This window comes from Homo sapiens, chromosome 20 (genome assembly GCF_000001405.40).
Source record: "Homo sapiens chromosome 20, GRCh38.p14 Primary Assembly".
Taxonomy (NCBI): Eukaryota; Metazoa; Chordata; class Mammalia; order Primates; family Hominidae; genus Homo; species Homo sapiens.
The window spans coordinates 52,032,237-52,044,080 of NC_000020.11; positions in this window are offsets into that span (position 1 = coordinate 52,032,237).

Below are 11,844 nucleotides of genomic sequence, written 5' to 3' on the forward strand. Positions count from 1 at the left end.
GTACAGTAAGTAAATGGCAGGTCTTTGAGCAGCTCTAGTACACATCTTAGATTTCTACAAAGTTCCAAGAAGGCAGCTCTTTCACTTGAAATTCAGAAGAATGAAGACATGATCTGAACACACTTCTTGGCGTGGCTTCGGAAGATGTTGTTTGTTATGCCTTAAGGAGAGGGACTGTTTCATTCTGGTAAAAGACACCATACCTGTGAAGGCTTTGTAGCTCTTTTTGCATAAGACTTTGTTGTAGGCCAGGCATGGTGGCTCACACCTGTAATCCCAGCACTTTGGGACGCTGAGGCAGGCGGATCACTTGAGGTCAGGAGTTTGAGACCAGCCTGGCCAACATGGTGAAACCTTGTCTCTACTAAAAATACAAAAACAAGCCCGGTGTGGTGGTGCACGCCTGTAATTCCAGCTACTCGGGAGGTTGAGGCAGCAGAATTGCTTGAACCCGGGAGGTGGAGGTTGCAGTGAGCTGAGATTGTACCACTCCACTCCAGCCTGGGTGACAGAGAGAGACTCTGTCTCAAAAAAAAAAAAAGAGAGAGAGAGAATATGATATTGGTTGCAGTGGCAGCTGTCCTGGGACAATGAAGTAAGACATCAGTGAAGTGCTGAGGAAGGTCATGTGGAGGATAGGACGTGCCCCTGTCCTGGATGACACTGTTGAATCTTTTGGAGATGCAAGATTTTTGTTTTCTGAGACAATTAAACGTCTTTGTCCAAGCCATATTGTGTTACCTTTGTGCACAAATGCATCCTACATGACATATCACATTACAGAAAATATCAGAGGCTAGTAGGTTTTAGAAGTTATAGGATTGGGAAAGTAGTTTTTTACTTTTACCAAATTAAACAAATTAATGCTTGAGAAAATGCTTTGCAAAATGCAAACCTATAGAATCTATGCATACACTATCCATTCCATCAGTCAACAAAAAGTTATTGAGCCCCAAATCAGTTAGGATTAGGTCTGGCTAGGAAAGATAGAAAACTTAAAGTAACAGTGGTTTAAACACAGAGAGAAGTTTATTTTTCTTGCATATCTATAGGCAGTACAGAGCCAATATGGTGATTTCATGATTATCAGGAACTGGGGCTCGTTCTATCTGTTCTACTATTCTCAACTTGTAGTTTTCACTGTGGTTCAATATGGAAGCATGAGCTCCGGAGAGCACGTCAACATTTACCTAGCAGTAAAGAGGAGGGGCAGCAGATAGACCCCACTCCTTCCCTAAGGCTGTTATTGGGAAGTCGCCTGTGACACATGCATTTACATCTCATTTTTCAGAACAGTCACATGACCATACCTAGTTGTAAGGGAAGCTGGGAAATGTAGTCTTTATTCTGGACAGCAAAGAATCCTGTTAACAGTAAGGGTTTCTGTTTATAGGGAAGAAAAGAATGGCTAACTAAGGTAAAGGGCAGCCTCTCCCATAGGTTCCCACCATGTGCCATTTATGAAACACTGACGGCAGAGCATATTAATACGTCAGCTTTGCTATGGTTTGGCTGTGTCCCCACCCAAATTTCATCTTGAATTCCCACGCGTTGTGGGAGGGACCCGGTGGGAGGTACTTGAATCATGGGGGCAGGTCTTTCCCATGCTGTTCTTGTGACAGTGAGTCTCATGAGACCTGATGGTATAATGAGGGGAGTTTTCCTGACCAATCTCTTTGCCTGCCACCATCCACGTAAGATATGACTTGCTCCTGCTTGCCGTCTGCCATGATTGTGAGGCCTCCCCAGCCATGTGGAAGTCTAAGTCATTAAACCTCTTTCTTTAGTAAATTGCCCAGTCTCGGGTATGTCTTTATTAGCAGCGTGAAAACGGACTAACACAAGCTTATACTAGGAAAATAAAGTATGCTTCTCATTATTTATATATTTATTCATTCAACAACTATTGCTTGAGGGCTGTTCGTACGATCTATGAGATATGAGACATTTGGTGATAGAAAAACAAAGCAGAAGAAATCATTATATAATAAGAGAAACAGCTTGATTGGGGAGAGAAGCTTATGACCAATCATCACGAATATTTTTCCCTAAGAGAATAATTGAGGATATGCAGAAAGTTTTTTTTTTTTTTTTTTGAGACAGAGTCTTGCTCTGTTGCCCGGGCTGGAGTGCAGTGGCACAATCTCTGCTCACTGCAACCTCCACCTCCTGGGTTCAAGCAATTCTCTGCCTCAGCCTCCCGAGTAGCTGAGATTACAGGCATCCGCCACCAAGCCTGGCTAATTTTTTTTTGTATTTTTAGTAGAGATAGGGTTTCACCATCTTGGCTGGGCTGGTCTTGAACTCCTGACCTCATGATCCACCCGCCTCAGCCTCCAAAAGTGCTGGAATTACAGGTGTTAGCCACCGGGCCCGGCCACAAAATTTTACCTATATAAGCTCACTGCACTTTTATGTAAACCAGCGAAAAATAGAAAGCAACTGAAATAGCCGGCTATTTTAACGATTAATTGTTGCACATAATTAAAAAACAATCTGGCAAAATCATAGCTAAAGCTAACATATGCCAGACCATGCATCAGCTGTTTACATGTGTTAGCTTATGTGATCCTTATGACAGTCCTACAAGATCATGATTATTTCCCTTTTTCTTCTGAGATAGAGTCTCGCTCTGTTGTCCGGGCTGAGTGCAGTGGCACGATCTTGGCTCACTGCAACCTCTGCCTCCCAGATTCAAGCAATTCTCCTGCCTTAGCCTCCCGAGTATCTGAGATTACAGGCACCCGCCACCACACCCAGCTAATTTTTTGTATTTTTTAGTGGAGATGGGGTTTTGCCATGTTGGCCAGGCTGGTCTTGAACTCCTGACCTCAATAACACCAAGATCTTAACAGTCAGTGGTTATCTCTGGGTGGTGGGGTAGTGGTTAATTTTTTTCTTTCCTTATATATGTATTTTATAAGTTTTTTGCAATGTTCACGTACTCCTTTTGTACCTTACAGAAAAAGGCAGGCCGTGGGCGGTGGGTCGCGCCTGTAATCCCAGCACTTTGGGAGGCTGAGGTGGGCGGATCACCTGAGGTCAGGAGTTCAAGACCAGCCTGACCAACATGGAGAAACCCCGTCTCTACTAAAAATACAAAATTAGCCAGGCATGGTGGCGTGTGCCTGTAATCCCAGCTTCTATGGAGGCTGAGGCAGGAGAATTGCTTGAACCTGGGAGGTGGAGGTTGCAGTGAGCAGAGATCGTGCCACTACATTCCAGCCTGGGCGACAGAGTGGGACTCCAACTCCAAAAAAAAAAAAAAGAAAAAGGCTTTATAAAACTATCTGGAATAATCTAAACTGGAGAGATTGTGCACACAGACAGTGAGGAAATGAAACATGGCGGTGGTTCAGGAAAACAATTCCTTCTACAAAGGCTGGCCTGGGGCCAGGGGTGTTTTGACAGATCTGGGGACTGACTTGACCCAAGGATGACACATTTGAATGTCCTCCCATCTATGGCCAAGGCTTTAATGCTGCATTGAGCTCACGTGTCAAGCTTGCTCCGATGAGATTGTCACTCCCCAACCCTTGCTCCACCCCGTGGCTCCATTTGTCACCAGAAACTGACACGTTTGGATAACACGCTGGCCTTTGCCTTTTTTATTTTTGTTTTTTTGAGACAGGGTCTTGCTCTGTTGCCCAAGCTGGAGTGCAGTGGCATGATCACAGCTTACTGCAGCCTCAACTTCCTTGGCTCAAGTAATTCTCCCATCTCAGCCTCCCAAGTAGCTGGGACTACAGGCACATGCCACTGTGATCAGTTATTTTTATTTACTTATTTTTTTAGAGATGGGGGTCTCACTATGTTGCCCAGCCTGGTATTGAACTCCTGGGCTCAAGCCATTCTCTCGCCTTGGCCCCTCAAAGTGCTGGGGTTACAGGTGTGAGCCACCATGCCTGGCCTGATCCTTGTCATTTTGCCCAGCACTCCTTGGCCCTCTGCCCACTCTCTGCTGACACCTAACACACAGCTCTGCAAAGACCTGTCTCTGGGTCTGACTCTCTCTTGAAGGTGAGCCACTGGCAGGCAGGCATGGGGTCTCCCTAGAGCAGGAGCTATTGCACAATCTGTTAAAAGAACAACCTCCACCTCTCCTTGTCAGAAAGCAACCATTCCCTCTTGCCAATCCAACTTGTTCTCTTCAAGAAGGCCTCAATTTTCACGTTTTCCCCCTTGAGGATTTAAATAAATAAACATGTCCTGCACTTGTATCCCAAAACTTACAATAAAATAAAATTAAAAATTAAAAAATAAACTGCAAACTATGGGAGTTAATGCTTTCAGGTGATCCTAGAGGGTGTCCATCCAAACCCCAAATAAAACCTCGATGTGTTAGTTAATACTTTTTCCAAAAACAAGGTTCTAGGTAGGACTTTTTTCTCTCCATCACTTTCTTTTTAATCTAGCAAATATACACGGACCATTTCCTGTGTTCTAGAACACATACCAAGCCATGTAATATAGTAAAATATAAGAAAAATGATTTTTATATTTTTAGTAGAGATGGGGTTTCACCATGTTGGCCAGGCTGTTCTCGAACTCCTGGCCTCAAGTGACCTACCTGCCTCAGCCCAATGTGCTGGGATTACAAGCCTGAGCCACCATGCGCCAGGTAAAATGATTTAACTGCCTTGTCGATGAGTGCCAGGAAAGAGAAGTTCTCAACACAACAGAGCTTATTTGAAGAGTCCTGACCCAGGTTTGGGAGAACATAGGGCGGGCAGTGGAGGCTTCCCAGAGGAATTACTTTTCATTTTCTGGATAAAAATATTAATATTGGGCCAGGCGCGGTGGCTCATGCCTGTAATCCCAGCACTTTGGGAGGCCAAGGCGGGCGGATCACGAAGTCAGGAGATCGTGACCATCCTGGCTAATACGGTGAAACCCGTCTCTACTAAAAATACAAAAAAAATTAGCAGGGCGTGGTGGCACGCACCTGTAGTCCCACCTACTCAGGAGGCTGAGGCAGGAGAATTGCTTGAACCCGGGAGGCAGAGGTTGCAGTGAGCCGAGATGGTGCCACTGCACTCCAGCCTGGGTGACAGAGCGAGACTCCATCTCAAAAAAAATATATATATATATTTATTTCCAGGGTGGGCATGGTGGCTCATGCCTGGAATCCCAGCACTTTGCGAGGCTGAGGTGGGTGAATTGTTTGAGCCCAGGAGCTCGAGACCAGCCTGGGCAACATGGAGAAACCCGATCTCTACAAAAAATACAAAAATTACCCAGGTGTGGTGGCATGTGGCTGTAGTCCCAGCTACTCAGAGGTTGAAGTGGGAGGATTACTTGAGCCCAGGAGGTTGAGGCTACAGTGAGCCATGATTGCACCACTGTGCTCCAGCCTGGACAACAGAGTGAGACCCTATCTAAACAAACAAACAAAAAAATTATTTCCATATGTAAATGAATGGGAACACTGTGCTAGAAGACATTGTAAAGAAGCCTGATGAGGATTCCAACTGATAACAGCCACGTTCGGATTTAGAAAAATGTAAGAGCAAGATCATGTGTGGACACTATTCCAATGAGAATGTACAGGTCAGACTTGTATCAGATAAGAAAATGCGAAATTATCTTAATTGACATTGAGAAAACAGGCCAAGGCATTATTGTTATAGAAAAAAGAGTAGAACACAGCTGAGCATAGTGGCTCACACCTGTAATCCCAGCACTTTGGGAGGCTGAGGGGGTCCGGATCGCTTGAGGCCAGGAGTTCAACACCAGCCTGGCTAACATGGTGAAACCCCGTCTCTACTAAACATACAAAAATTAGCTAGGTGTGGTCATTTTCACCTGTAATCCCAGCTACCTGGGAGGCTGATGCACGAGAATCACTTGCACCCAGGAGGCAGAGGCTGCGGTGAGCTGAGATTGCGCCACTGCACTCCAGCCTGGGTGACAGAGCGAGACTCTGTCTCAAAAAAAAAAAAAAACAACAGCAATCAGTGAGACAGAAGTACAGCCACATATTGAAATACTATACAGCTGTTTTTTAAAATATAGTTGGTAACATGGCCGGGCGCGGTGGCTCATGCCTGTATTCCCAGCACTTTGGGAGGCTGAGGTGGGCAGATCACCTGAGGTCGGGAGTTCGAGACCAGCCTGACCAACATGGAGAAATCCCGTCTCTACTAAAAATACAAAATTAGCCAGGCGTGTGGCACATGCCTGTAATCACAGCTACTAGGGAGGCTGATGGAGGAGAATCACTTGAACCCGGGAGGTGGAGGTTGCAGTGAGCCGAGATCGTGCCATTGCACTCCAGCCTGGGCAACAAGAGTAAAACTCCATCTCAGAAAAAAAAAAAAAAAAAAAAAAAAAAAAGTAGTTGGTAGCTTTCTCTACACTGGTGATACGGATCAATCTACAAGTTGAATATGTAGTGAAAAAAGCGAATGCAGATCAGTGTGTTTAGTGAATGTGCTTCCTCTGTAACAATAAAAAGAGAGTATGGCCAGGTGCCATGGCTCACGCCTGTAATCCCAGCACTTTGGAAGACTGAGGCGGGCGGATCATTTGGGGTTGGGAGTTCAAGACCAGCCTGGCTAACATGGTGAAACTCCGTCTCTACTAAAAAAACAAAAAAAAAAACAAAAAAAACTTTATCTGGGCGTGGTGGCACACGCCTGTAATCTCAGCTACTGGAGAGGCTGAGGCAGAAGAATCGCCTGAACCCAGGAGGCGGAGGTTGCAGTGAGCCAAGATCATACCACTGCACTCCAGCCTGGGTGACAGAGTGAAACTCCATCTCAAAAAAAAAAAAAAAAGAGTATAACATTATTTGCTTGTAAACGTATAAACATCTCCAGAAAAGTATACAAGAAACGAATAATGGTGGCTCCATCTGGGTAGGAACGGGTAGGCGGAAAATGTTTCAAGGCACAGCTCTTTGTACCTTTTGAGTGTTGAATCGTGTGAATAGATTGCCTCTTTTAAATAAATAAATCACACACACACACAAACCACAAAAACACAAAAACACATCAAATGAAAATTGCAAACACTGAAATAACATAGGATTATCAAAGGTGTCCTGGCCCAATGGAATTAAGAATGACTGGTTTAGAATTTCACTCAGACTTTAAATCATGTTAGGGAATTAGGGCTTCCTAATGGAATTCACTTAGGGAATCTAATGTTTTCTATGTATGTCCCAGGATCAATTGAGGGTTGCTCTTAGTTTTCACCGTCATAATGGTGTATAACAGACGGGTTCACACCGTGTTTCCATAGTTTCCTTGCATGCTGGTATTCACAAAAATCTGTTTTGCTTCTTTGGGCCTTTTCTGTAATTTAATTTTTGTTGTTGTTCTGCATGTGTATTTAGTAATTAAGGGTGGGAAAAATTCATATTATTTAAAATTAATATGATGATAAATAGGTTTCTATAAGAAGACTCACCAAAAAAGTCTTTAAACGCAACTAAAATTTAAAATAAAAAGAAATAATAAGAGACTCCTGTCTGGCTGTTGAAACTTTAAGGCATCCTTTCTTTCTTAGAAATAGTAAGCTCCCAATAAGTAAATTTAAAAACTTTACCCTCCATTAAATCCTAAAACAGTGGAAGTGAATGATCCATCCCACAGTGTCATATTTCCGGAGGGGACAGTGATTATGAATGTCTCTTGGATCTGCACGCTCCATTAAACTCTGTTAGGGAGAATACTTTCAAGCTCCAAGAGACAATTAATTTCTTACAGGGAGTGGCATTCTTGAACGCACAACTGGGATTCTAATTACGCTCGAGCAGAAAGTAATACTTTACAGGGCTGGGTAAAAACACTCATTCGGAAGTAAAGTTGGGGGGTCATAAAAACTGGGGATTACTTTAGTTAGTCATTTGTAACAGGTAAAAGTTGTGTTTTAACTTCCTGGAGTTGGGCGGGGGAGGCAGAAGGGGCTATTTTAGGAGGAAGGAGAGTCCAGTTAACAAAAGGAAGGTCCTTATGAATTTTTCCAGGGCTGCAAATTCATAAATAACAACAGTATTTATTGTAAGAAGGACAGAACTTGAGGATTAACCTTTCCACACATCTGTACTTAACCCATTGCCCCAGTAAAAGAGAGCCCATTGTTTGTTCAGTGTGTCAATCATTATTATAGAAAATGCACACACATCTCACCCAAAAGTTGGAAAGAAAACTTGGAAAACAGTCATCAAGCTTGAGGTAACTTGCATGGTCTAGCCCAGCGGTTCTAAGTGGGGGCGAGTCTGTCCTCCAGGGGACAGTTGGCACTGTCTGGAGACATTTTGGGTTCTCGTAACTGGGGGGGCGCGACTGAGGGGTAGAGGCTAAAAATACTGCTAAACACTCTACATTTAGCTGGGCGTGGTGGCTCACGCTTGTAATCTCAGCACTTTGGGATGCCGAGGCAGGCGGATCACCTGAGGTTGGGAGTTCGAGACCAGCCTGACCAACATGGAGAAACCCTCTTTCTACTAAAAACACAAAAAATTAGCCGGCCATGTCTGTAATCCCAGCTACTCGGGAGGCTGAGGCAGGAGAATCACTTGAACCTGGGAGCCGGAGGTTGCAGTGAGCCGAGATTGCGCCATTGTACTCCAGCCTGGGCAACAAGAGCGAAACTCCGTCTCAAAAACAAAACAAAACACACACAGACACACACACACACACACACACACACACACTCTACATTCTAAACACAGAATGCCCCTACAACAAATAATTCTCCACAACATGCCAGTGGTGCCAAGGTTGAGAAACCGAGGTCTAGTGCTTTGCTGGATGATATTGGCAGGGACTCTTTTCTTGCAATTCAATGTAACATAAATTCAGACCGACAACTCCTTTTCAGGCTGGCGCCTAGCCCATGACACATAATTTTTTGGGGGGGAATTATTCAGATCCCAGGAGGACTCCCCAATAACCACAAAAACAATCATTTTTCTGTTCTCCAAGATCATTTGGAGGGCAAGAAACATATCCTTGGTCTCCACAATAGGCAACATACATCCCATCATTTAAGAAATAGCTTTACAAAGCATGGAAAAGAAGAAGATATTTAGTCCTTCTTTGGTAGGGAGGGTGTAGGGGAAATCAACACAAGTTTAAAGAGGAAGTTTGGCTTTGTAGTAATCTCGCTAATTGGAGTACGATTCTTTGAAAGTCTTGGATGGAGTTGAAGAGGGTCTGTGAAGTCTCTGGAAATTAAATGCAGAATGTAGTTTGTACGTGCAAAGGGCTGCAGCTTTCATCAGATTCTCAGTAGGATCTATAACCCCCCAAAGATGAAGGACCACAAGTGCAAAGGGTTCCAAATATCAGTTGTGGCTACATGCACTGATTTTTTTTCTACATTTGAACAGGCCACACTTGCATGTGGTGAAAATAAAATCAGTCTGAAAGGGCAGCCTGAACAGTGATTCCTCACTTACCCTGAGCGTGCTGTTTAAGGTGGCGCCAAAAACTCAGTCATCTGGATAACTGTTATTTCCATGCAACATTTTAAACATGCAAAACTAATGGAAATGAAAAAAGTTAATGAAAAAATGATGGTGAACAAAGTATCAACATTTTAAATAAAGGCCAGGCAAAGTGGCTGAAGTCGATAATCCCAACACTTAGGGAGGTCGAGGCAGGAGGATCACTTGAGCCCAGGAGTTTGAGACCAGCCTGGGCAACATTGCAAGACCCTGTCTCCACATAAAATAAACTAATAATAATAAATTAGCTGGGCATGGTGGCATGCATCTGTAGTCTCAGATACTTGGGAGGCTGAGGTGGGAGGATGGCTTGAGGCCAGGAGTTCAAGGTTGCAGTGAGCTAAGATGGTGTCACTGCACTTCAGCTTGGGCAACAAAGCGAGACTCTGTCTCTAAAATAAAATGACATACTTAAATAAAAACAAGATCAGTCAGGTATGGTGGCTCATGCCAGTAATCCCAGCAATTTGGGAGGGTGACGCAAGAGGATTGCTTGAGCTCAGGAGTTCCAGACCTGCCTGGGCAACTAAGCGAGACCCTGTTTCTATAAAAAATACAAGCAAAATAGCCAGATGTGGCGGTGCACACCTGTAGTCCCAACTACTCAAGAGGCTGAGGTGGGAGGATCACTTGAGCCCGGGAGGTCGAGGCTGCAGTGAGCCAAGATCACACCACCACACTCCAGCCTGTGTTACAGAGTAAGACCCTGTCTCAAAACCGAAACCAAACTCCCCAAAACCCCCCAAATCAATATTACTGTTTGTTTCTTTTTGCCTCAAGCTCCAGTTAGGCTTGGGAGGATGGTGTTACTGACACAGGCTGTTGGAAGTTTCTTATGTATTTTTCCAGAGATATTCTATGCAAAGGTAAGCAAATATGTATCTATCTACTACCTACATGTATGCTTTTTGTTACAGTATACACATCATTCTATATCTTGCCTTCTTCATTTAATATATCTTTGGAATTGTTCCATATAAAAATTTATATTCTATGTTATATATTTGTGTTATAAATATACATTTCATATATTACAATTGTGCAAGAAAATCCACTTGTCTTCTTTTTTGAAGTGTGGCTATAACCAATTGCTTTATATCATCAAACTTCCTTCTGCAAAGCAGAGTTGTTTCCTTTAAAAATCCATTTCTTTTTTTTTGTTTGTTTTGAGACAGAGTCTCACTCTGTTGCCTAGGCTGGAGTGCAGTGGCGCCATCTCAGCTCACTGCAACCTTGGCCTCCCAGGTTCAAGTGATTCTCGTGCCTCAGCCACCCAAGTAACAGGAATTACAGGCATGTGCCACCACACCCGGCTAATTTTTGTATTTTTTTGTAGAGACGCGGTTTCATCATGTTGGCCAGGTCTCGAACTCCTGACCTTAAGTGATCTGCCTGCCTAGTCCTCCCAAAGAGATGGGATTACAGATGTGAGCCACCATGCCTGGCCTTAAAAATCCATTTCTCTAATGCTGGATGCTACATTTGTTTGCAAGCTCATATCATATTTTAAAAATCTCCAGGGAACTATACTTAATTAGTTCTCCATTTTAAAAAAGTGTACACCTCCTTTCCTCCCTCCCTCGAGTTGGTAAAGTGGCCAGAAATGGCCAGACTGACTTGGGGAGACTCCTGGGTAAACTGAGTGCCTTAGGAGGGCACGTTGGCCTCCTCGAGTTACTGGTCACTGCTAATTAGTTTAGAGAGTCTAAACCCTTCATAATCTCAAATTCCATTTTCAAAGAAAATGAGGCTTAAGTTGCCACAGATGCGAATGATGTCACAGAGAGACTTTATGAGCTGCCGAAAATCATCTGATGCTGGTAAGGCAACATGAACCCACGACGTGGCCCTCTGCTAATAACATTTAGCCAACACAAGAACTGTACAGCTTCTCCCTTCTAGAGCTCAGGGGCCCCCAGTACATGCTGCAGAAAATGTGCATTTTATTGTTTCAGTTTGAGCTTAAGATAAAAGAAAGTTGCCAGGCATGGTGGCTCACACCTGTAATCCCAGCACTTTGGGAGGCTGAAGCGGGCGGATCACTTGAGGTCAGGAGTTCGAGACCATCCTGGCCAACATGGTGAAACACTGTCTCTACCAAAAATAAAAAGATTTGACTGGGCGTAGTGGCTCACACCTGTAATCCCAACACTTTGGGAGGTTGAGGCGGGTGGATCACGAGGTCAGGAGTTTGAGACCAGCCTGGTCAATATGGTAAAACCCCACCTCTACTAAAAATACAAAAATTAGCTGGGCATAGTGGTACACGCATGTAGTCCCAGCTACTCAGGAGGCTGAGGCAGGAGAATCGCTTGAACCCGGGAGGTGGAGGTTGCAGTGAGCCGGGATTGTGCCACTGCACTCCAGCCTGGGCGACAGAGAGACAC